Source organism: Homo sapiens, chromosome 8 (assembly GCF_000001405.40).
Source record: "Homo sapiens chromosome 8, GRCh38.p14 Primary Assembly".
NCBI classification, from domain to species: Eukaryota; Metazoa; Chordata; class Mammalia; order Primates; family Hominidae; genus Homo; species Homo sapiens.
Window position 1 is genome coordinate 99,158,546 of NC_000008.11, and position 27,896 is coordinate 99,186,441.

General features: G+C 35.1%; 1 protein-coding gene across 3 annotated transcripts in view; it reads left to right on the forward strand.

The window, feature by feature from the left end:
- The window catches only part of VPS13B (vacuolar protein sorting 13 homolog B), an 864,307-nt gene that overhangs the window by 145,272 nt on the left and 691,139 nt on the right, over positions 1–27,896 (forward strand). For all 3 annotated transcript variants that reach the window (NM_152564.5, NM_017890.5, NM_015243.3), the window contains exon 16: positions 11,494–11,618. In NM_152564.5, the coding sequence (NP_689777.3) occupies positions 11,494–11,618 (125 nt within the window). The remainder of the gene's footprint in view (positions 1–11,493; positions 11,619–27,896) is intronic.

Consider the following 27,896-nt stretch of genomic DNA (forward strand, 5'->3'; position numbering starts at 1 on the left):
TAATGTACCTGGTGACTTCTTAAGTTGAAGATAATGCTCATCTACCATTCTGAAAATCCAAAGTGCTTTAAGAATTAGGCTAAATCTTCACTGCTCATGCTCTATAAATGGAACAACAAAGCCTCAATGACAGTACATCTGTTTATGGCATGGTTTACTAAACATTTTAAGCCTGTGGAGACCTACTGCCCAGAAAAGACTCCTCTCAAAATATTAGCGCTCACGGACAATGCTCCTGGTCACCCTACACCTGTGATGAAGATGTACAGGGAGATGCACATTGTTTTCATGCCTGTTAACATGACATTCATTCTGCAGCCTGTGGATCAAGAGTAATTTTGACTCTGGGGTCTTATTATTTAAGAAATATATTTTGTAAGGCTTATAGCTACCATAGATAGCCATTCTTCTGATAGACCTGGGCAAAGCAAATTGAAAACCTTTTGGAAAAGATTCATCAATCTAGATGCTATTAAGAATATTTATGATTCACAGAAGGAGGTCAATCTATTTACATTAACAAGAGTTTGGAAGAAGTTGATTTCAGTCCTCATGGATTACTTTGAGGGGTTCAAGGCTTCCATGGAGGAAGTAACTGCAGATGTGATGGAAATAGCAAGAGAACTAGAATTGGTGTCTGAAGATATGACTGAATTGCTACAATCTCATGATAAAACTTGAATGGAGGAGGAGTTGCTTCTTATGGATGAGCAAAGAAAGTGATTTCTGGAGATGGCAATTACTCCTGGGGAAGATGCTGGGAACATTGTTAAATGATTACAGAGAATTTAAAAAGTTCTATAAACTTGGTTGATAAAGCAATGGCATGGTTTGAGAGGATTGACTCCAATTTTGATAGAAGTTTTACTACTGTTAAAATGCCATCAAACCTCAAATCAATCATCAATGCCTGCTGTGGAGAAATCTTTCATGAAAGGAAGAGTTAATCAATATGGCAAACTTCATTGTTGTCTTATTTTTAGAAATTGCTGCAGCTAGCCCCACCACTTTTAGCAACCACCATCCTGATTAGTAAGGAGCCATGAACATCAAGGCAAAAAGGTTATTACTTGCTGAAGGTTGAGATGGTCATTAGCATTTTTTAGCAATAAAGTACTTTTTGTAAGGGGTGAGGGCAGAGTCTTACTCTGTCACCCAGGCCGTAGTGCAGTGGCATGATCTTGGCTCACTGCAACCTCCACCTCCTGGGCTCAAGTGATTCTCCCATCTCAGTCTCCCAAGTACTGGGACCACAGGTACACATGCCCATGCTCAGCTAATTTTTTGTATTTTTGGTAAGATGGGGTTTTGCCATGTTGCCCAGGCTGGTCTCGAATTCCTGAGCTCAAGCTATCTGCCTACCTTGCTTCCCAAAGTGCTGTGATTACAGGTGTGAACCACTGTGCCCAGCCAATAAAGTGCTTTTTATTTAAGGTATATAAGTTTTTTTTTTTGACATAATGTTATTGCACACTTAATAGACTACAGTATAAGTGTATACATAACTTTTATTATATGTACTGGGAAACCAAAAATTATTGTGATATTTGTTGTATTGTGGTGATGTGGAACTTGCAGTATCTCCTGGGTATGTCCATCTGGTTATGTAAAGTGAATTATTGGTAGCTTTCCCCAGCTCTTTCAATTTTTAAAAAATAAGTAATACATCCAATGCAGGTATATACAAACAATAACCTCAAATGTTGAACAATACATGTTTTAGCTAAGCAAGCAGAGATGTATAGTTTAAATAGAAATAGTGTGTACACAATCAACTTCTGTTTTATGAACAAAAGAAAACTATAAAAAGTTGAATTTAAGAATCAGTACTGGCTGGGTATCGTGGCTAACGCCTGTAATCTCAGCACTTTGAGAGTCTGAGGTGGGTGGATCACTTGAGCCCAGGAGGTCGAGACCCCCCTGAGCAAAGTGGTGAAACCTCATCTCTACAAAAAATACAAAAATTAGCCAGGCATTGTGGTTGCGTGCCAGCTACCTGGGAGGCTGAGGTGAGAGATTTGCTTGAGCCCAGGAGGTCAAGGTTGCAGTGAGCTGTGATGGCGCCACTGCACTCCAGCTTAGGCAACAGAGTGAGACCCTGTCTCAAAAAAAAAAAAAAAAAAAAAAGGTACTAAAAAAGCACTAATTTTCATGTAATGTATCAAAAGATTAGAGGACTCCACAAATAGGCTCTTGGCCTAATTAGTTTATTTGAAGTTATAAAGTTTTTAAGTATTTGTATATCTGTAACGCAAAAATAAACCAATTTCAAGATACCAGTTTTAGATCACCTGCAGGTGTATATAAATGTAAGATGTTAACATTTGACTGTTTTCAGACCATTGCAGACTAGAAGAACATGTTTTCTTGGTTGTTTTTGCAAAGCCTTTTTTCTCAAGGATGGCTCCTTTGGTGGAAGAACAACAGATCACATTGCAAAAGGGTGTGGACACAGGGAAGTGTGACTCATTGGGGCCATTATTTTAGTGATCTACCATAATGTTTTATGTTATATGGAGAGTAGCAGAAATATTTTCAAAACCTAGATATAAAGATTATAAATGTACTTTATACTTTACAATGCTTTATACTCTATAATTTTCAGATTCAATGCTTTATACTTAAGCTTTATTTATTGTCACAATTAATACATAGAAGTGTACAATTTTAAAAAATATTGGTACAAATTTAATATCAGATTACAGTGTTAAGAATATTTGCTTTGTTTTTTCATGTCAATAATATATTTTATTTAACCCAATATATGCAAATATTGGTTAACATGCAGTCAACATAAAACATTGACATTCAGCTTATAGATAAATGAAGTGAGTCTCTATACTCAAGAAGGATGTTCACCAAAACCATTGGTCATCAATATAGTCACCATCCATACTGACATAAAATTTATTGGAATACTTCTTCACGATTTCTACTTGTCAATATGTTAAAACTCACATTTCCAGTGTAATGTAAAAGTTATTTACAGTGTACTACCGATATAGTTATATTTTGGAAAAAGGGCCTTTGCTACACATGCTGTCTAGTTTTCTTTTATATTTTGGCTTGTTTGAATACAGTCATAATGGATACGTTTAATGTCTCAGGAAGTAAGGTGTTAGGCAGAGTGGGAATAGCATTAATATGCGTGGGAAAACCATTCCCTGGTGTTAAGTGTACTAAATCCTTTTTTTTTTTTTTTTTTGAGACAGAGTCTCATTCTGTCACCCAGGCTGGAGTGCAGTGGCACAATCTAGGCTCATTGCAATCTCCACTTCCCAGGTTCAAGCGATTCTCCTGCCTCAGCCTCCCGAGTAGCTAGGATTACAGGTGTGCACCACCACACCCAGCTAATTTTTGTATTTTTAGTAGAGACAGGGTCTCACCATGTTGACCAGGCTGGTCTCGAACTCTTGGCCTCAAATTGATCCTCCCACCTCGACCTCCCAAAGTGCTGGGATTACAGGTGTGAGCCACTGCGTCCGGCCAAGAATACTAAATACTTTTGAAAATAAAGCCTTGAATCTTGTCTTGAATATTTCATTTCATTTTCATACTTCTACTGTGACATAGGACTTTTGAATACTTTCAGGATGTGGTAGAGAGTTTTTTTTTATACGGCTATTGTGATGTGACTCCATTTACCAGTTTGCTATAAAGTTTATAGCAGTTCATATTACTTGGGTTGATTTTAGTAGCCTTTGAGGAAGTTTTTAAAGTTTTAGTTTTATCATATTACAGTAGTACAGTAGAGGATTCGTGTGTTTGGCATTTTAGTCCATATATAATTTTCAATTAAGTACTTAAACAAATCCTTGAGTTTTAATTTTGTATACTGAACCTTGGCTGTATTGGCTATATGATGAAATTGTGTCCGGAGTTGGTGGGTTCTTGGTCTCACTGACTTCAAGAATGAAGCCGCGGACCCTCGCGGTGAGTGTTACAGCTCTTAAGGTGGCGCGTCTGGAGTCTGTCCCTTCTGATGTTCAGATGTATTTGGAGTTTCTTCCTTCTGGTGGGTTCGTGGTCTCGCTGGCTCAGGAATGAAGCTGCAGACGTTTGCAGTGAGTGTTACAGCTCTTAAGGCAGCGCGTCTGGAGTTGTTCGTTCCTCCCGGTGGGCTCATGGTCTCGCTGGGCTCAGGAGCGAAGCTGCAGATCTTCGCGGTGAGTGTTACAGCTCATAAAAGCAGCGTGGACCCAAAGAGTGAGCAATAGCAAGATTTATTGCAAAGAGCGAAAGAACAAAGCTTCCACAGTGTGGAAGGGAACCCGAGCGGGTTGCCAATGCTGGCTCGGGCAGCCTGCTTTTATTCTTTTATCTGGCCCCACCCACATCTTGCTGATTGGTAGAGCTGAGTGGCCTGTTTTGTCAGGGCGCTGATTGGTGCGTTTACAATCCCTGAGCTAGATACAAAGGTTCTCCACGTCCCCATCAGATTAGTTAGATACAGAGTTTGGACACACAGGTTCTCCAAGGCCCCACCAGAGCGGCTAGATACAGAGTGTCAATTGGTGCATTCACAAACCTTGAGCTAAACACAGGGTGCTGACTGGTGTGTTTACAAACCTTGAGCTAGATACAGAGTGCCGATTGGTGTATTTACAATCCCTGAGCTAGACATAAAGGTTCTCCAAGGCCCCACCAGAGCAGCTAGATACAGAGTGACGATTGGTGCATTCACAAACCTTGAGCTAAACACAGGGTGCTGATTGGTGTATTTACAATCCCTGAGCTAGATATAAAGACTCTCCACATCCCCACCAGACTCAGGAGCCCAGCTGGCTTCACCTAGTGGATCCCGCACCGGGGCTGCAGGTGGAGCTGCCTGCCAGTCCTGCACCGTGCACTCGCATTCCTCAGCCCTTGGGTGGTCGATGGGACTGGGCGCCGTGGAATAGGGGGTGGTGCTCGTTGGGGAGGCTCGGGCTGCACAGGAGCCCATGGAGTGGGTGGGAGGCTCAGGCATGGCAGGCTGCAGGTCCCGAGCCCTGCCCCGTGGGAAGGCAGCTAAGGCCCGGCGAGAAATCGAGCACAGCGCCGGTGGGCCAGCACTGTTGGGGGACCCAGTACACCCTCGGCAGCCACTGGCCGGGGTGCTAAGTCCCTCATTGCCCGGGGCCAGCAGGGCTGGCTGGCTGCTCTGAGTGCGGAGCCCACCAAGCCCATGTCCACACAGAACTCCAGCTGGCCTGCAAGCGCCGCACACAGCCCCGGTTCCCGCTCGCGCCTCTCCCTCCACACCTCCCTGCAAGCTGAGGGAGTGGGCTCCAGCCTTGGCCAGCCCAGAAAGGGGCTCCCACAGTGCAGTGGGGGCTGAAGGGCTCCTCAAATGCAACCAAAGTGGGAGCCCAGGCAGGGGAGGTGCTGAGAGCAAGCGAGGGCTCTGAGGACTGCCAGCATGCTGTCACCTCTCAATCCCCCCTCTAAACAGGACACCCCAATTGCTGTTGGGAATTTGGCCGTTGACTGCTCTAGCTACTTCCTGCTGGATAGGGGCGAAGAAGGGGCCCTGCAGTTGTGGTGTCCTTCAGAGGGGAACTCTCCAGGCCAGGGGAAGTGCCAGTGGGTCGGTCCAGGGGTCCCGGGTAGAAGTTGTTAGTTGAACTCATTTGGGGTTCCATTTGTAAGACCATCTGTTGCTTGATGGTCTCGATTCTAGAGGAAACAAAATTGACAAGAAGGTTAGAAATACAGGGCCCAAAGGTGAGTAACAGCAAGATGGCTGCCACAGGACCTAGAAAGGGGAGAAGCCATGTTGCCCAACTCCAGAGGTTGGTATAAGTATTTGAAAGGCATTGTCTGATTTCAGAAGCCTTTTCCTGTAAACGCCGGGCAGCATCTCGTACTATCCCTGACTGGTTAGTGTAAAAACAACACTCTTCCCCTAAAAAGGTGCAGAGTCCTCCTTTCTCAGCAGTGAGGAGGTCTAGGCCTCAGCAGTTTTGGAGAGTCACTGCTGCCAAAGAGTCTATTTGGGATTGTAAAGTAAGGATAGATTTCGTTATTTCTTGCAAACTGTCTGAGAAGCAAATATGGGTTGAAGACCCACATAAGTAGAATATGCCTTGGCTGGGTAGATAGAAATTTACCCTGGCTTTTAAAGGAATAGGATACACTGTTTTTTCTTTACTACTTCCATCTCTCTCTTTCTCTCTTCGACTTCTTCTTTGTCTCTTCTTCTCTTTTTAACTCTCTCTTTAACTTTCTGTGTCTGTCCCTCTTTCTCTCTGACTCCTTTTCTTTGTCTCTGTTTCTGACTCCCTCTTTGATTTTCTGTCTCTCTGTCTCTTCCTCTCTCTGTCTTTTTGACTTTCTCTTTCTCTCTTCGACTTTTTCTTTCCTTTCTGCTGCCTCTGCCAGCTGCTTATGCTGCTGTTCTCCCCTCTCCTTCCCGTTTTGATGGCTTTGTCAGTGTAAGAAAATGATTCATAATTCCCACTTCATGTAATAAAATTTACCAATTGGGAGAGTTGGCATGGATCTGTATGGAAAATATGCAGATGAAAGATTCCTTTTATTTGTAATTGACAAAATTGTATATATTATTGTTTATAACATGTTTTGAAATATGTATACATTTTGAAATAGCTCAATTTAGCTAACATATATTATGTCACATACTATCATTTTTGTGGTGAGAACTGTTTAAATCTGCTGTCATTGATTTTTTAATAGAATACATTGTTATTTACTATAGTCTTCATGTTGTACAATAGATCTTTTAAATTTATTTCTCCTATCTAATTGAAATTTTGTATGCTTTGCCTAACATCTCTTCAACCTCCTCTCCCCGAGAGATGACACTTGCTTATGGCTTACCAATTCCTCTTTATGTATCTGGCAAACCCATCGTTTGAATATGTATGGTATTGAGTAGCTAAGAGTTTCAAGGCATCTGATATTTGAAACATATGTAGAAAATTTGGTAATGTGACTGCGTTGTGTAATTTGTAGAATAGTATATAACTTTAAGGCCTTATTCATATGGATCAGCTGCAATACATACTTCAGACAGAACAAGGAGTTAGAGTAGGATGGAAACCCTTTGGATTCTTTGGATCTGTTAATTTTTTACCTCAAGAAAATCCCAGGGGATTTGGAGGAAATAATGTTTTCATACACATTTTACGGTTACATAAATTGGCATATTTATTTTGGAAGTAGCAGCATGTAATACATTTGAAAGCACATCTACCTTACCACCCATTTGTTCCAATTTTCAGTGTATACCCTCCAGCAGGGGTCAGCAAAATTTTGCCTACAGGCTCAGTATATATTTTAGGCTTTGTGGACCAAGTGGCAAAATTGAGGATATTATGTAGGAACTTAAATAACAAGAGAGAGAACAAATTTTACAAATGTTGAGTTTATAATATTCAAAATGTAATAATTGAGTACAGTTTTTGGGTAATACACAGTTTTATTTTTCTTTTATTTATTTATTTTTTTGAGATCTAGTTTTGCACTGTTGCCCTGGCTGGAGTGCAATGGCACGATCTTGGCTCACTGCAACGTCCGCCTCCCGGGTTCAAGTGATTCTCCTGCCTCAGCCTCCTGAGTAGCTGGGATTACAGGCACGTGCCACCACTCCTGGCTAATTTTTTGTATTTTTAGTGGAGACGGGACTTCACTATGTTGGCCAGGCTGTTCTTGAACTCCTGAGCTCGTGATCCACCCACCTCTGCCTCTGTCTCCCAAAGTGCTGGGATTATAGGCATGAGCCACCGTGCCTGGCCAGGTAATACAGTTTTATTAATGAGAAGAATGGAACTCTTTTTGGAGGGACAACATTTCACCTAATTGGGATTTCAACTTATTGTTCCCACCATGTTGATTATAAATGTTTATGTGTAAAAATTATTCTTTGCTTGTAGGCTATCCCGGAACAAGCAGTGTGTGGGATTTGGCCTGTAGGCTGTAGTTGGTTTTTGTTCTGTTTTCTTAGAGGTTTATTGTTTAGGAATTAACTTAACCAAGGAAGTGAAAGACTTTTGCAATAAGAACCACAAAACAGAGCTGAAAGAAACGAAGATATACATAAATGGAAACGCATCTCATCTTCTTGAATTGGAAGACTTAATATTGTCCATGCTATCCTTTCTACACATTTTCAGTGCAGACTCTATTACAATTCCAATGTCTTTTTTCAGAAGTAGAAAAACTCATCCTAAAATTCATATGGACTCTCAAGGGACCCCAAATAACCAAAAAGATCTTGAAAAAGAACAAAGCTGAAGGACTTACTCTTACTGATTCCAGAAGCTACTACAGAGCTATAGTAATCAAAACAGTGTGGTACTGTTGTAAACACAGACATATAGACCCGTAGAAAAGAATGCAGTGCCCAGCAATAAACCATTGTGAGAAAGATTGTTTATTTTTCTTTAAGAATAAACAGAGAATCAGCCATTCCTTTTTAGGTGAAGAGAAGGAGGAAATAGAGGAAGGAAGGAAGATCGGGTGAAATTTTGAGTTAATAGATGAGCTACATCAAATGAAGTATCATATCCTTGTTACATCAATATATAATTTCAAAGATGTCCCTAATCCTTTTGGACTTCATTTTTCCTGCATGTGAAATGAGATGATTGAGTTAAATAATCTCTAAGCAGTTTGAGCTCTAAAATTCTTTGGTTGATTTTGATTTCATTCTTTTCCCCTGAAGAGTTTTTCTTCACAAGGTGTTCATTATTATGCTGTACAACCCTAGTTATTATTATTCTTTCTTCAGTTTTTATGTGTTTCAGTGTATTATTGCATACATACCAACTTTTAAAATGAAAGAAATGCTTATTTGTTCCTTTAGTGAAGGGACAAATCTTTATGATGCTGATTATACTATTATGTGTTTTATACTATTATGTGTTTTATTTAATGGTATAAAACTACCATGTGTTTTATAATGGCAGTAACAAAAATTATTTATTGTATATCATAATTATAATGTTTTTATTGTCATTTACAATTAGCATGTGCTTTTTATACTTTTGTCTTTTTAAAATAGCAAATTCTAATTTATGATAATTTTTGGCAAAATCTTACAGAAGTAAGTTGCCATATAATGTTTCTAAATCCATTACAATTTCTTCTATTTGAGATATTAATTCAAGAACATTTGTTGTAAAATGTTAAAATCTTGATGATGTATTCATTTTTGTTATTTACTAATTGGGATTTTTAAAAACAGGTGGCAATACATGTTTAACTTTTTATTTAATGAGATGTGTAAGTTCTCTTATTCAACTTTACAGTTTCCTTTAGCTAAAATTTCTACTGGTAGTTATACTTACTGTTTCATACATTTTTATTGCTCCAGATTATTAGTTTGCAACATTTACCAAACCAGTTTTTGAATATGTGAGCTATCCTTCATGAAAGCAACTTCAGTTTACACTGCTGGTTCTGCTTTTTCCAGATTAAGTATTTATAGTCTTGGTCAAGGGATGTTGACAAATTATTAGCTTATATAGGTTTTGTAAATCTATGTATCTGATTGCTGTAATTTAAAAGAGAGAGTTTAAAAATTTATTTTTAAATAGTTCTTTTTGATTTGGTGGATAATAGAGGAAGCAAAAATATGACTCATAATAATTTGGCAATATTTAGAAGGTAACTTCTTTGTCCAGTAGGTCCTGTTTTATTGTAATTTTCACCTGGTTGAATGTTTTCTTAGAAGCATCTCTAGGCAACACAAAAGTATAATAAAGACTTTTAAAAAAATGACAGAATAGTATGTAGTTTCCCCAAAGCCCTTTGCAATTCTGCAGACAACCAGCAGGGGATCTCGTCTACACCCAATTTCCTTCTGAGTACAGTTGGTAGATAGTGTCTGTGATTATACTGTTGGGGCATTTAATGGAAAATTTGACAGTGGCTTTGAGAGAGTTCTTAGTTGAGCATAGGTAATATGATGTGATAAAATATTATCTTTATTCATAACTCGAAATATTTGGCAGTTGGATATTGTTTTAAAAATGTTTTGTATTGTTATAATAATAACTGTAAATTCCAGAATCCTTTGAATATTTGGCCTTTATGAGGAAATAAGAAATCCTGAAATTGTACAGAAACCAACGCAGTACTTTGCATACATTATTGCTCAGAACAGGTCTTCAAAAAGAATGAATGTGAAATATCTTAATTTTAAGTTATGATTTTAAGTAATCATTTCAGTATTAGAAAGATATCTTTTTCTCAATTCTGTACTTCTTATCTATTGGTTAATAGCAGGTTATAGGTGCTGATGGGTGCATCACTTTTGTTTTCCTTGATAGTAATTACATAAGTAGGTTCTTTGAAATGCAGTTTTCCTTGAAAATGTAATTTTAAAAAATGTTTTATTTCTAAAACATTGTTTTGTTCACTCAAAACTGAGTGTATAAGAAATAATTTGACATTGTCGATTTGATGAATGTTAGGAGTATAATAGCTTTTTGAAACTATTTGGAAGTAGCTTAATACTTTTAAAGAAATTGATAATTATTTTATGCTCATTAAATAGTATTTTGAAATCAGTTATGAAGAAATTCTAAACATATTTTATTATAGAACTTCACAGTTGATATTAATTCTAGAGATATGGAAGTCAGTGCTTTATAAACCCAAGGGATAAAAAACAGTAACTAAAGATAAATGTTGAGATTAAGCTACTTTTACATTTACTGGAAAACAGTAACTCTTTGTTTTGTATCCATGTGTGTATTTCCACTCTGAGGTGTTTATCTTTTGTTGTTTTACAAATAATTGAAGCAGAAATATCATCAGTTCTCTACAGTATTTCATGTAACGTGATGTTATGTTGTTTCTTTCTATTATGACAAATATAGTATCCAGGAATTTCAGGGATTGCTTATAAAATTTTGTAGTATGGTCTGCTTGCTTTAAGCATAGACATGCTTGTACATATGAAGAGTAATTTATGCCATGTACCAAGTTTTCTGGGGTTTAAAACCTCAATCCCACAATTATTTTCACAAAAGAAAATAGAAATAACATTTTAGGATATTTTTCGATATCCTTTTTGTATGTACATTATACAAGGTGAAGACAAAATACATTTTTAAACAGTTTTTCTTGTAGTTAATGTTATTTTAGTCATAAAATATTAACATTAATTTATAAAATTTGTAGTTTACTGTGTAGAAAATGCAGTCAGCGGTTTATATTTATGGAAAAATGTATATTTTAGCAGATAATAAAACACTACCTGAGGAGTATGTATAGAAATAAAATGTGAAACTTAAAAAAATTTGTCAAAAGAGCAGTGATCTTTCAGGGATGTGAAATAAATACTGTATATTTAAGTTTCTTAATTTTGACCTACTGTCAAATTGTATAGAAGAAAATGTTGATCGTTTGGGAAGTGGAAAAAGACTTTGGAACATATTTAGTGTGCAGCTGTTGTAAAGCAAGTTGAAACTGACGTATTTCATCCTGTGCTTATTAAAACTTTGTCTGTGTGAACACTTGCATCTTTTCTTTTTGTTTTAGATATTTGGTTTCCAGGCAGGACTGACGTCTTTGGATTGCAGTGGATCTTACTGCTTACCTGTACCAGTTATTCCCTCTTTCAGCACTGCTCTTTATGGGAAACTTCTGAAACTCCCCACATGCTGGTAAGTCTTACATGTTAAAATGTGATTTATGTTAATTTCCATTTATTAGGAGGGAAAAAACCCCCAAATGTATCTGTCTTATGCCCATGCTAGTTTTATACAAAACTTTAGAAAAAAAATCTAAACTTGTACTTTTACTGAGACACTAAAAGTCTTTTTTAAGTTTCTGAAATCTGTTAGTTCATCATGTCTTTTGTGATAGCAATAACTGTTATTAGGGTAATAACTGTTAATTCATGTTGGATGTGTGTAAAATACTACTTGAGATTATAATAGGAACTGTAAGAGGAAGTGCCTTTTTTTCAAGAGTGGGTATAAAGATTTTAAAAAGTTATAAATTAATATTCAAGACCAAAGTATTTATCTATTAAATAATAATTTCGTATATATTCATACCCACTGACAAAAGTATACACATTATGTAGAGTTAGAATGTATTTACATGTCTAGTAGCTATATTTTATAAGAAATTGATTGTAGCCCTCACCATTTTCATTCCGAATTGAATGCTATATTTGGAGGTCACATTTCCTTAAATTCGGAGAGATTTACAGAAAGAAAGCCAGTAGTTACCAGTTATAAATTTTTAGTTTAAAGGAATGCTTTTAATATATTGTTTAAATATATAAAATAATGTTTAAATATATGAAATTAATTTTTAGTGAACCATTTTTCCAATTTAAAATGTGATTTAGAATATGTCTTTTGTATTCTCATTCTAATTAGTAAGCTTATTTTTGCAGGATAGTTTTTCTATTAGTTTTTTACTAAAAATGACATAACCTTTAGAAAATTAGCATTAATTTCTTATCTAAAATACTTCAGTTGCTAAAAATTTGTTTCTTTAATAATATATAACTTTTAAAATGAAATTATAAAATAATCGCTCATATTTTCAAGAAACTTTGCCTGCTGATACAGAAAATTTTTTTAAAAGTCGTAGTTAAGTCTTAGTACCAATTCCTCTATAAAGTGAAACCATTATTAAATGATAATTCTTAATTTCTAGTGATAAATTTCATTTTGTCCTTACTCCTCCATACCTCTCACATGTCATTTATTATGTTATATAGAGATAGATTTAACTTTTTATTAGCATACATGGTATGTTGCATTTGAGTCAAGTTTTATATTCTGATCTATTAAGAAATAAACTGGGATATGTCACAGTTGATATGGTGATATCAATTTTAATAGGTATTTGTGAAAACTATTTTCTCCGTTATGTGCTGATTAATTTATCATTTCTAGGACCAAAATAGTTTTATTGCAAACAGTGCAATTTACTATAGAAAATTCTTAATTTCTTTAAAAAAGTCCATATTTTTCAAAATGATTATAGCCTTTATATAAAATCAATATTGAAATAAGTAAGACTTATTTGAAGGATACAAAGAGGGTATTATGAATACTGTCAAATGTTACTTAAAATATGCCTACAGACATCTAGAAATAATATTCCAATTAAATACTGAAAGCATGAGATCACAGAATGCCAATATTTTTTGGATGTGTTTTGCTTTTTTGTAGTTAAGACTACTTCTGTGTTATTTCAGTGATATTTTTGCTATGCTTTATAGAAGTATATTGATTTGAAATATTTCTTGAAATTTTCTTAATAAATGTAAAAAAAAACTTTAGTAACTGTAACTTGAAAATAAAGAGAAAACTTAATAAATTGAGATATTGGTTGGTTTTAGTGCAGTTTGAATTCAATAAAATACTGCTTAAGCAGTATGTCCTATAAGTTTAAAGAAAGCAGACAGTTTCCCTGGGACGTCAGAGATAGCTGATGAGATGAGGTCCTGTTAGAATTGGACATTAGTGGATGAGACAGATATCCATGTATCTATCACTGCATACAGTGGGCGAAGAATTTGGACAGTTACTCTACCTTAGACTTGTCCATGAGCAATGATATCTAAATGTTTTAATATGAACACTTAAAGATAGTTAAACCAGTTAATCAAATATTCATTAGTCCCATTTCTTCATGTTCATGTTTGTTAAAGCCTAACTAAAATATAGTCTCAAATTCACTTTGTCCTATAATTGAGGGTTCAAATGTGTGATTCTATTTGTAGAGAAATATATGCAACATATTTTGGAAGTTTGGAGTATAGAAATAGTATATTGGCTTAGAAAGTCATGGAAAACATGGAGGGGTAATTTTTAAGCAGGATATTGAGGAATGGATATAATCTGAAAGAGCATACTATATTGTTTTATACAGTCTTAGGTACCTAGTTAAAGTTCATGACGGTCCTGTGAGATAAGATGATATTGTCTCTTATAAACTCTTTCTAATTTTCAGAGAGGTTAAATAAGTTGTCCAAAGTCACACACTGGCCTCACAAGATTTTCGTAGAGGATTGTCTGATTTGAACATCTTTGATTGTTTTATTACTTGAAGGAGCGAAGGGGACATATATAATCTTCTGTTAATCAGTTTTGAAGGCCCTGTTAATCAGTTTTGAAGGCCCAGTATGCTTTTTGCCTATAGTTAAAGTAAATTTCCATGGAGTGAAAGGCTAGCTAATAAATCTGAACTCTGCTAGTATTAGTTAATAGTATGTAGATATTATTGTAATTCTGATCTTAAAATGATGGATATTAACATTAGGTGGAATCTTAGACATTATCCCAGTTACTGAGTCTTTATGACGTACTTTTGGTTTATAGCCATCTGTGTACTGCTTGAACATTTTATTCAAGGATGTTAGCTACTTTCTGGGCCAACCATTATTGGGCAGCTCTAAATTTCTTTCTTTTATTTAATCAAAGTTTGCTTTTATGAGAAGTTTATACTTGGATTTCTGCCTAAGAATAATGTTTCTTCTCTGATATAATTATTACTTATATATATCATGAGGCATTTTCATTCTCAGAGAAATGTGTGAAAACACATATTTCTTTTTAAGGTTGAGGGACTTCTAAGTTCCCATTTTTTACTTAGCACAGTGCCAATTGTTGATTTTAACTAGCAAAGTTATTGAACAGATCATTTGCAGGGGAAAAATGCTTCTGTGAAATCTTTGAGTTCAGTGTTAATTAGAAGTTACACGACTTGGTGCTGGTAGGCTGGTGGTATTGATGTGGTGTGTGAAGGGCAGGTGAGGCAGATACTGATCCTTTTGCCTCCCTGGAAGTGAAACTGAAGGCATCATTTGCCCCAGCTCAGAGTGACACCAGGGTAAATTCTTTTAGTTTTAATGGATACTGGGACCTTCAAGTCTAAAAAAAATTGCCAGTAATACTTATTATCAACACAATAAGTAACCTTCCAGGGCTTAAAATGATGTTTATACAACTGCCCTGTTCTTCGTAATACCACAGTTCGAGGCCTCAAGAAGCTATACTTGAGTGTTTTTAATGAACCTGGAGATAGATCTTCCTTCCAAAACTGTGTTCATCAGTCTGGTTTTGTGATTAACATTCCCTTTAACTAAATGCCTTAAAACTACTAAGCCTTAAATGGGATGTTAATTCTCTTATCTCCACCTGATAGGTGTTAGACTGATTTTTCAGCTTTGGTTCTGCCATCTAAGATGTGCTTTTATGGAATGTTTTGAACAAAAAAGAAACATTAACATCTGTTACAATCTTCTCATTTCAAAGATGGGAAAACTGAGTTCCAGAGAGGTCAAATTTCTTGCCTAAGACCACACAGTTAATTAATATCAGTGCCTCAATTTGATCCTCTCCTTCTTGATTCAAGGCTCGATCAACTGTACCATTTTGCTTAAAACAATTGCTATTACTATTTCAAAAAATAACTATTTTTAAATGTAAAATTCAGTAGCATTAAGTACATTCACATTGTTGTGCAGTAGTGCCACCATTCAACTTTCTGTCTCTATAAATTTGACTATTCTAGGTACCTCACTGAAATGGAATCATTCCATATTTGTCATTTGTGTCTGGCTTATTTCACTTAGCATAATGTTTTCAAGATTAATCCGTGTTGCAGCATGTAGCAGAATTTCCTTCCTTATTCATTCGTTTGTAAGACTGAATTTTATGTATTCATTTTATGTATATGCCACATTTTGTTTATCCATTTATCCATTGACAAATACCTCTCACCTTTTAGCTATTGTGAATGATGCTGCTGTGAACATGCATGTACAAATATCTGTTTGAGTCTCTGCTTTCAGTTATTTTGAGTATATACCTAGAAGTGGAATTGCTGTATCATATGGTAATTCTGTTTTTGAGAGCTGCCATACTGATTTTCACACCACTTGACACCTGCAACAGTGATGGAAAAAGGTTCCAATTTCTCCATATTTTCATCAACACTTATTATTTTCTGTTTTTTGATAATAGCTATCGTAACAAATATGAGGTGATATCTCATTGTGGTTTTAATTTGCATTTTCCTAATGATTAGGAATGTTGACCATCTTTTCATGTCCTATCTATTCAAGTCCTTTGCTCATTTTTAATTAGTTTTTTTCCTTGAGTTGTAGAAGTTCTTTATGTGTTGTGTAAATTAATCCCTTATCAGATATATGATTTGCAAGTATTTTCTTCCACTGTGTGGAACCATATTGCAGGGTCCTGGCTGGAGATGCATCAATAAACAAAATAGGCAAGTTATTTCCCCTCATGGCAATAGAGAATAAACATTCTCTTAATTAAGGGAATTTTAAGGAGAGAAAAATTGCTCCATGTAGATTGTCTTTTAAAATTGAATCATAAAATCATCCTTTTTGCTGTACTGAGCCTTGAAAGGAGGTGTTTAAATAGTTCTTGATAGCATAACACTTTTGGATTACTTAACATTTTTCTATTTATTATTTTTTATGTTTCAGTGAATGCAGCATTTTTACTTTTTCTTAATGATTCATGTTTGAACTGAAAACCATCGAATTAGGAGTAGAGCAAACAGTGATAGGAATTGAAATATAGATTCTTGCAGATAAATGAAAAAACCCATTGGATAAATTAAATATATTTTTTATTTGCCAGCTCTGAAAACATTCTTCAGTTATTGTTGAATGATGTTGTAGGAGGGTGCATTTGATGATTCAGGACTTAATGCAAGCTTTTCTAAAAACTTGATTTCTCATCAAGTATTTTAACATGTACAGCTTGAACAACATGGGCTTGAACTGTGTGAGTTCAGTTTCTTTCAATAACTATATTGGAAAATTTTTTTGAGATTTGTAACAATTTGAAAATTTGCAGATGAACCATTTAGCCTAGAAATATCAAAATAATGAAGAAAAAGTTAGGTATGTTATGAATGCATACAATTTATGTGGATTTTGTCTATTTTATCATTTACTACCATGCAATATACAAAAATTTATTATAAAAAGTTAAAATTTGGCCAGGAATGGTGGCTCACGCCTCTAATTCCAGCGCTTTGGGAGGCCAAGGTGTGAGGATTCCTTGAGCCCAAGAGTTCCAGACCCCATTTCTAGAAAAATAAAAAGGTAACCAGGCATGGTGGCATGTGCCTATAGTCTCAGCTGTTTAGGAGGCTGAGGTGGGAGGATCACTTGCGCTCGGGAGATTGAGGCTGCAGTGAGCCATGATCATGCCACTGCTCTCCAGCCTGAGTGACAGCGAGACCCTGTCTGTTTCAAACCCCAAAACCAAAAAGGTAAAATTTGTTAAAACTTATGCACACAAATGCTTAGGGACCACACATGGCACCATTCAGAGCTGATAGAAATGTAAACAAACATAAAGATGCAGTATTAAATCATAACTGCATAAAGTTAATTGTAGTACTACATGGTGTACTACTATAATAATTTCGTAGCCACCTTTTGTTGCTACTGCGGTGAGCTTTTGTGTTGTATCTGCTTAAAATGCTGTGTGATGGTAAGCATCTCCATGTGAGCAGTCCCTGAGCAGTTCCTCTCTACAGTATGACTGTGTATTGCAATAGAAAGTGATCTGTCACAGTTCTCACATATTTGTCATTGGGCTTAGTGCAATACTGTAAAATACTATAAACTTTTGTTTTTTTTTTTTGAGACGAAGTCTTGGTCTGTTGCCCAGGCTGGAATACAGTGGCATGATCTTGGCTCACTAGCCTCTGCCTCCTGGGCTGAAGTGATTCTCGTTCCTCAACCTCCTGAGTAGCTGGGATTACAGGTGCTTGTGCCACCACACCCAGCTAATTTTTGTATTTTTAGTAGGGACGAGGTTTCATCTTGTTGGCTAGGCTGGTCTTGAACTCCTGGCCTCAAGTGATCTGCCCACCTTGGCCTCCCAAAGTGCTGGGATTACAGGCATGAGCCACCGCGCCCAGCCCTGTAAACCTTGAATAACACCACAGGGTCCACACAGAGTGATTCTGGAAGTGGTTCCAAGAAGCAGAAAAAAGCCATGATGCTATAAGACAAAGTTGAGTTGCTTGATATGTACCACAGATTGAATTCTGCAGCTTCAGTTGCCTGCCCTTTCAAGAAAGATAAATTCAGCATAAGGACTATTGTAAAAAAATAAAAAATAAAAGGAAATCTGTGAAACCATTGCTTCAGTTTTGCCAGCTAGCACAAACACTTTTCACTTTTTGTGAAATACCTTTTTATTTTGTATTGAAAATGCAGCTTTTATGTGGGTGCAGGATTGCTATAAGAAAGGAATACTAGAGACTCTAATAAGATTTGAGAAAAAGTGAAGTCATTATGTGACAACTTAAAGCAAAGAGAAGATGAAGGATCTGAAGGTGAAGAATTTAATGCCAGCAGATGATGGTTTGACAATTTTAGAAAGAGGTTTGGCTTAAAAAATTTCAAGAGAACAGGAGAAGTACTTTCTGCTACCAAGAAACTCATATTAGTCAGCAGATGAGTTTCCTAGGTGCCATTAAGAAAATTATTGAGGAGAAAGGATATCTACCTGAACAGATTTTAAGTGCAGATGAAAGTGCCCTATTCTGGAAAAAAATGCCACCAAGGACATTTATTAGCAAGGAAGTGATGAGTGCTCACAGACCTGTGCCAGATGATAAGAAGTAGGAGAAGCAGTGCCAGAAAACAAATGGACATTGTACAGTCTGGCAGAAGGGTTCCAGTTATTCAAGATTGCCTTTGACTTTTTTTTATGACATGGACCATCCTATGATAGGGGCACTGCATTATTTGAAATAAATTTCTTGGAAAGACTGACCAGTCTTTGTATATGTTAATGGTCTTGCCAATTTCTGTTTTTCCTTATATTTTTGGTTGTGATTTGATAATGTGTTTAGATAAATAACTTGTCAAAAAATACATACATTTATAGTTTTTAAAACATGGCCTATGTGTATGAAATTAAAAGGATATAAAAAGCACAATTATAGGTAAATAGTATGTATCTTTATATTAGATTTTTTCCCTTTAATTTTTTTAGAAAGGGCACAAAGAGCATTTGACTTGACATATGTTAACAAGCAAGAGAGTGTTGGTCCAATGAGAACAGAAAGTTTCCTTTGATTGTGATTTTGGAAAATTTGATATTTTCCACATGGAATTTTATGGTCAGTTGGGGTGAAGTTGTATAGGCAAATATGATGCATTTCCAATTCCCTAGTTTAATGTTTTAAACTTAGTAAAATAGTTTGTTTAGTGGTGTCCAAATGAGCATTTACAACTCATTCTTAGCTTATTGCCTTTAAATTTGATTTTTGGTTATTGGAGAATATTTCTACATGACCTATATCTATGTCAGAATAATTATATTGACTTTTCCTCAGTATTTGGCTTTGCCTGTGCACAGCAGTGGGAAAATATTATCCTGTGACAACATTCTATTCTAGTGACAGCATTTTAAAAAATGTATCTTTCTTTCATTATTTTTGTGAGGGAGAGTGAAAGTCAGTAGTATTCTTTGAGTTCAAAAGAACTCTACGTTGTTAATGTATTTTTTTTTAAAGCGAAATGGCTTGGTTAGTAATTATTAAATTTAGCCTAGGTTTTCTTTTTATGACTACCTTTAAATTTTTTTCTTAACTGTGTTTTGATGATTTAATTTCTTTTTATTTTTTATTTTATTTTTTTTTTATTATACTCTAAGTTTTAGGGTACATGTGCACATTGTGCAGGTTAGTTACATATGTATACATGTGCCATGCTGGTGCGCTGCACCCACTAATGTGTCATCTAGCATTAGGTATATCTCCCAATGCTATCCCTCCCCCCTCCCCTTGAAATGTAAGAACAAATAATCATTGGCGGTTCCCATATTCAAAAGATCAGATAGTGCTTAGGTTAGTGACAGAAGAAAATTTCTAATAATAGCATCATAATCCCCTTGTATAGCATTTTGTACTTAACTAAGTTTCACTGCATACAGGAAGTTTTTTGATACTCACAACCAACCTTTGAAATAAACAGGTTAGGTATCCTTATTTCTATTTTATAGATCTGGAAATGGAGGATTAGGGAAGGTGATATGGTAGACCTAGAGAGATAAAATCGCTTGCATTGGACATCTTTTATTTATTTTATTTTATTTTATTTTTCTATATTTTGAGACAGAGTCTTGTTCTGTCACCCAGGCTGGAGTGTAGTGGCACGATCTCGACTCACTGCAACCTCTATCTCCTGGGTTCAAGCGATTCTCCTGCCTCAGCCTCCCAAGTAGCTGTAATTACAGATGTGTGCCATGACACCTGGCTAATTTTTGTATTTTTAGTAGAGATGGGGTTTCCGCATGTTGGCCAGGCTGGTCTTGAACTCCTGACCTCAAGTGAGCCACCCGCCTCGGCCTCCCAAAGTGCAGGGATTACAGGTGTGAGCCACTGCGCCCGCCCTAGACATCTTTTGATTAATTGATGTTGGAACTATTAATAGCATGTTGATTAATAGCTATTAATAGCAGGTTCTAGATAAGAACTTTGTATTCTTCATTATGCCTTATAACTTAAAAAATACTGCCAGCTTCTTAGAAGAATCTGTTAATACTTAACATTGTTCAGATTTCAACTGACTAATGAGTCATTTATTCATTAAAAAAAAATTTTGGTGCCTATCATGTTAAAACTGTTGTGTTGTAGGCCTTGGAGTGTGAATACCACTTGGTCTTTGTGTTTCCTTTCTTGATACTTTAAGAATTTAGACAGGTGTTCTTAAATACTGTCTAACTCATACATCTGCAGCCAAGTTTGTTTGTTTGTTTGGCTTGTTTTTGGAAGATCTAATTATGACCTCTTTACTAGAATACTTTGCTTCTTACAATTTATATGGTAAAGTTTAAAAGCTTTAAAATATTCTTTGATGCCCTCTATGGTCTGGCCCCTGCTTGGCTTTCTACACTCATCTGAAACGTCCTCCTCTCTGTCCCCTCCTTCTTGCTTTTAAAAATTTTCTCTCCTTTTACCAAATTGTTCACTATTATTGTTTTACTATTCTGTATCCTAAATAACTGTAACTGACTCCAGATGCTACTCCAGTTGATACTTTTTCTGACCTGGTCACTTCCCCTCTAAAATATGCTTTAAAATATGAGATAATGTTCTTGTTTTTCATTGTACTTTTCATAGAAGTGATTTTACACTGCTTTGTGTGATTATTTAATAGCCTTTCCCACTCGTTTTATTTTAAGCTCCATAAGAAACATCTCTTTTTCTGTGGGGCACGTTTATCGTGAAAACCTCGCATCTGTTGTAGACATGAGTAAATATTTATTGGCATGCGTCTGGCTGTTTCTTTAACAATTTCAATTTTTTTTTTGGTTTTCTGATTTATGAGGTTTTAGATTGTATACTTTTTTGACAATCAAGTTCTATCTCCTATTAGCTCACATTATACATGCAAAACTTACTCTTGGCCAAAGTGAAAATCAGTGATGTTAATTACTTAAATTAAACTAAAATTTTAGTGACTTTTCCTATTCAGAGTTCTCAAGGTAATATTTGAAAGTTATTAATTACATATATAAAATATATTGTATAAACACACTTCATCTCCTTTTTTTCCTGAGCAGTTACATTCTTATTTTAAGTAGATGAATTGTCTGTTTTAAATTAACTTGTCTAGAAGATGAGATAATGTAAAGGCATCTTACTTCTTTTGTATTTTGTTTGTTTGCTACCACACATCAGTTAACCATTATTTAAGCTGTTCCATATTCCGTAATACTAGCACCACTTTTTGGCTCATATCGAGCAAGTATAGTATATAGGCCATTCCCTCCAGAGACTTACAACTCATGCTGCAACTCATTTATAAATATTTATTGGGTCCATGGTATAATTCCAGTCATCATTCTACATGCTGGGAATGCAGTGGTAAACAAAATAGACCTTGTCTCTGTTTCATGGAGCCAATATTCTGAAGAGGTAGAGCCAACACTGCATTAAGACAAATACATGCATTTCAGATAATGGTGAGTAATAAGAAAAATTATGGCCAATGGGATAGAAAATGAATGTTTTGGGGAGTTTATTTGTCTAAAATGGTCAGGGAAGTTCTCTTACATGGATGTGACTTTTGACTCCAACCTAAATGACCAGTCAATGGCAGCCATACAAAGATTTTGGGAAATTGTGTTGCAAGTGTTGGGAATAGCTGGTGCAGGTCTCAAGGTAGAAATAGATATAGTTCATATGAAGGACAGATAGAAGTCAAGTGTGACTGCAACATAGTAAAGGGAGATAGATAAGAGATTAAATTGGAGAGGTGGTCTATTCACAAATAAAAGCAACGTAAGTAGGTATAACCTGAACAATTTTTAGCCTTAATAGTAGAGAAGTAAAGATTTAAACAATGTAGAATTAACCATCTTTTTTGTGTACTGTTAAATGAATATAATATTCAGAATGTTAAGGATTGTGACACCAGTGGTGGAAATTTAATATGACAGATCCTTACAACTTTTCTGCTGTACAGCTTGACTATATCCATCAAAATCTGTAAGCATGAATATCTTTTACTCAGCATGTCCATTTTTAGGAGTTTGTCCTTAGATATAATTAAGCGAATGACCAATAATTAGTTATGATAAAATGGAAAAATGTAAATAGCAAATAATGAAAAACAGGTTGTATAAATTATGTTACACTCATACCAGTTAGCAATATGTAGGATAGCCATTAAAATTTTGTTGTAGTATATGTTTATTGGTATAGAAATGTTCTCATGATAAATATCGAGTGAAAAAAGGTCACAGAACAGAGGGATACAGAGTTAGTCTATTAATCTGAACAAAAAATATGCTTGCACAGGTAAAAAGGCTGGGCTATTGCTAAACTGTTTGTGATGGTGTTATGTGAGTGGTAGGTAATGTGTGGTTTATGTATTATAGTGGTTAGGAGCATGGACCTCAGAACTGGATTCCTTGCATTTAAATATAGGCTCTGCCACTTCCTAGCCTTGTGGCTGAGAAAGTCTTTGTGTCTGAGTTTCCTCATTTGTAAAAGGGGCAATTCTTAATTCTTACCTTCGAGTTATTTTGAGGCTTAAATGAGTTAACAAATATGAGCTGCTTTGAATAGTGCCTGACACATAACAAGTTCTTTATGCAAGTTAGCTGTGATTATTACTATTGCATATTTACTTTTTTCTGACTTTTTTCAGTGAACATACATTTATAAAATTGATGGGTCACCTTTCTCTCAAAGATTGTATAAAGTTTTATTTGACATGCCAAAAAGGAAAAGTTTGTTTTTAATCACATGTATTAATATAATAGGTATAATCTATTAATAAATTTATAAACTTCTATAAAGCAGTTAAGAAAATAAACTGAGGAACAGACTGAGTAAAAAGATGCACAAAACATCTGAAAAAATTATTGTATACAGAATATATGAAAATATCCTACAGTTGAATAAGAAAAAATACAACCAATTAAAAAATGGGCAAAAGACTTGAACAGACATTTCACAAAGGAAGGGTCACCAAACACATAAAAAAGAACCCAACAACTATACATAAGGGAATTGCAGATTAAAACCACGTTGAGAATGATCATAACAGCTTTATTCAAAATAATCCCAAACTGAAATAACCCTGGAGATTAAATAAATTGTGGTATATTTAAACAACAAATACCACTCATCAATAAAAAATAATGAACTACTGATATATACAGTTGTGTTTCCTGAGTGAAAAGAACTGGGCACAACAGAAACATGGTATGATTCTATTTATATGAATTTCTGGAACAGGCAAAATTAATCTGTAGTGGAAAAAAGTCTAAATTGCCTTTGGGAGGATGAAGGAGGAAGGATTGATTGGGAAGAACACAGGGAATTTTCTGGGGAGATGGTGATTTCAGTATCTTTTTGGGGTGAGGGTTATAACACAGTTATGAGTATTTGTCAAGATTCATGAAATTCTACAGTTTTTAGAATATATAAAAAGAATATAAAATTCTTTTTATATTTTACTGTTTGTAAATTTTACCTAAAGAAAAAAGGACTGAAAACAAAATTGAAATCTGTTTGCTTTTTTGCAGTGGAATGAGTTAGCAACTAATGATATGAGTTAAGCAATTCTTAAAGCACTTTCTGTGTATTCTAGGCTTGACTAAATAAGTAGGCTTATTCAGAGTAATGGTATCCAGGTTTTTCACCTGTGGAGAAGGAGTTACAAATATGTTAAAGAGAAAGTCTATATTTATTTATCGTTTTATTTCTTCTTTGAGACGGAGTCTTGCTCTGTCACACAGGCTGTAGTGCAGTGGTGCAGTCTCAGCTCACTGCAACCTCTTTCTCCCAGGTTCAAGAGATTCCCGGGCCTCAGCCTTCTGAGTAGCTGGGATTACAGGAACCCACCCCCATGTCTGGCTAATTTTTGTATTTTTAGTAGAGACTGGGTTTCGGGTTTCATTATGTTGGCCAGACTTGAACTCCTGACCTCAGGTGATCCGCCTACCTCGGCCTCCCAAAGTGCTGGGATTGCAGGCGTGAGCCACCGCACCTGGCTGTGGAAGACTATATTTAATGGTAGGCCGTCATGGAAAAAAAAGAGGAGGAAGACTATAATTCACCTTGGTATTGTATTTGAATTGGAGGTATCAGAATGAACTCATGGTTTTTAATACAAAGATATGTCACATTTACACCTTTTTGTTCATATTGTTGCCGTTTTCTTCTTATTTAACATCAGTACTTTTGTTGAATTTAGACACTAGGTTGAGACATTATGCCCCGCTGCTGCTCTATTGACGGTATATTGAAGTTTATATAGGTTAATGGGGTTTTTGTTTGTTTTTCTTTTTTTTGAAGAATTTTTTCTTTGCATGAAATTTTACTCTGGAGATTAATATGTAAAAAGTTCAACATACATATTGAAATGCTCAGATGGAATTGGGGAGATATGCAGCCTAGTAGTTTGCATTTGGTCTCTGCATGGCAGATGTTTGGATAAACAATGAATATCTTTTGGTATGTTAGATATTAAGTTCTCAGTAAGCACAGAGTGGCTTTTTAACTGTATTATTGTGTAGCATCGAATAGTATCTAATACTTAGTACTTGCCTAATAAATGTGGACTTAAATTGGGTATTTTTTCTTTTGAATTGTAGTGTTTCAGAGTGTTGGAAAATCTTAGTAACTAATATATAAATATATTTTTTCATAAATGTAGTATTGAAGTAATAAAGGTAATCCTTAAGTAAACTATAAGTATTCATTTTTAAAAAATGACTATATTGAGGTATAATTTACATACCATAAAATTAATCTGTTTTTAAGCATACAATTCAATGATTTTTAGTAAATTTACCAAGTTGAGCATTCATCAACATAATCATGTCACCCTAATTAGATCCTCTTTGTTACAGTTAATCCTAATTCTTACCCCAACTTCAAGGAACTGTAGATTTACTTTCTGTATCTCTAGAAATAGAAAATATCTCTAGACATGTTCTGTCCCTGGAATCTATAATATGTTGTGGTCTTTTGTTTCAGGGTTCATCTACCTTGTAACATGTATTAGTACTTCACTTCTTTTTATTGCTAAATAGTAGTCAATTGGTTGGATAGACCACTTTTTATTTATCCATTCACCAGCTGATAGACATTTGTGTTGCTTACACTTTTAAGGCTATTATGAATAATGCTGCCATGAACATGTAGTCTTTGTGTGGACTTAATGGTTTCATTTCTCTTGGGTAGATACCTACAGGGGTATGGTTGGATTATATAGTAAATTTATGTTTAACTTTTTAAGAAACTGCAATCTGTTTTGCAATATGATATCATTTTATATTCCTTCCAACAATGTATGAGGTTCTTGTTTTTTCACAGCCCTGCTGACATTTGTTATTGTCTGTCTTTTTGATTATGTCCATTCCAGTGGGGTTGAAATAGTATCTCATGGTAGTTTTATAAGAATTCATTTTTGTTTGCTTAGTTCATTTTAAGATTTTGGATTTTATGTATGGTAATAAGACATTTATTACACTTTTATTTTAGTGGTAGGCAGCTTTTCTTATATTTTCCTATTTTTCATCTAATATTTTAATTCAAATAAAACTATTCCAGAAATTTGAAAAATGTTAACATATTTTTATATCTCGACAAACAGGATATAATTTGTATTTTATTTGCAAATGCTAAAATCATTGTAATTAAAAATATATGACAAAAGCTGGCCAGGCATGGTGGCTCACACCTGTAATCCTAGCACTTTGGGAGGCAGATGCTGGTGGATCACTTCAGGTCAGGAGTTTGAGACCAGCCTGGCCAACATGGCGAAACCCCGTCTCTACCAAAAATACAAAAATTAGCCAGGTGCAGTGGCACGCTCCTGTAATCCCAGCTACTCTGGAGGCTGAGGCACGAGAGTCTCTTGAACCTGGAGGCGGAGGCTGCAGTGAGCTGAGATCGTGCCACTGCACTTCAGCCTCAGGGACAGAGCGAGACTCTGCTTTGAAAAAAAGAAAAAAAATGGCAAAAGCTAATGGATGTTGAAAAAGATACTCCGATACACTGCTGACGAATGTGAAAATTCAGCGTGATATCATGTATGCATTAAAAAGACCACTGTAGAAGGATTTGTATTCATGTAAAGATCTTAGTGATCTCTAAGATATGTTGTTTACTCATATCAAGTAGGCTGTAGACATACACCTATGTGTATATTCTCATTAAAATTATAAATGTATATTTGAGTGCATGAAATGAATATACAGAGGTCTGCAGGGATATATGATAAACTCATAAAAAGTTGTTACCTGTAGAGTGTGGAGTTGGGAGTAAATAGTATTAGCTTTTCATTTTATCTATTTAATTTTTTAAAACTTTAAAAACTTTTTTTCTTTTCATTGAGTATTGATGTGTAAGTTAAGTAGTCACTGTGTAAAGAAATATACATCTTAGCTTTTTAAACTGTTTTCATTTCTAAGTTGAGTTAGCAAAGAACTGTACTCATTTTATTTTGGAAAAAGTGAACTAATCTTATTTTACTGTACAGGATATGAGTAATAACAAAAATACATTTTTGGAACCAGTTTGTAGGTTCAAACTTTGCATTTTGGGACTCTATATAAATCTTTAGATCCAGCTGTTGCTGAGAATATTCTTTCAATTGCTATGAGGTGTGTTGATTTTAAAAGAATGGATGGCTGTTCCTCAAGTGTACATATGGCAAAAATTTAATGGTATCGCTATGAACTTGAATGGATTGTTTAATTTCTTTGCATCGAGTAGTAAGAACCACACTTCCATCATTTTTATTTAAAATTTAGAAGAAGGAATTTTTTTTTATAGAAATGCCCATTTGGTCCTGAAATTTCATCAGCTCTCTGTTATAGTTTGTCAACAAATGGTACAAGCAAAGTCTTTCAAAGTATTTGTTAATTAGGCCATATTCATTTTTAGTCTTCGCTACTATACAGTCAAGACCTACTTGTTTCTATTTCCTTTAATTTATCCTGGAGTTTGTCCAAGTTGAGTTTTAATGAGTTGTTTATCCCACTAGTTACACTAGGATTTATTTTTCCCTAGAGAGTAATGTTTGAATTGATAGTTTTTAAACCTATTCTGTAAAATGAACATATGTTCAGACTAAGACTTCTGGATATGAGGAATAGGCATGTGTTAAAGAAATTATTTTATATTCAACAGCTTAACTGTTAAAATGGAAATTTAGTGATATTTCAAAATATTAGGTAAGTCCAGAAGTTAGAAATTTTTGGTATGAATTTATATTGAACTATTTTGTTTTAAGTAAAGTTTAATAAATATGTAGTAGTCTAAATCACAAGGAAAAATACACTTTTTATTGTGCATTTTTATTGACACTTTAATGACTCCCCCAAATAGTTTAAATAAAGTTGTAAAAGCTGTTGATCTTTAAAAAATTTTTTGAGGTGAATATGGTA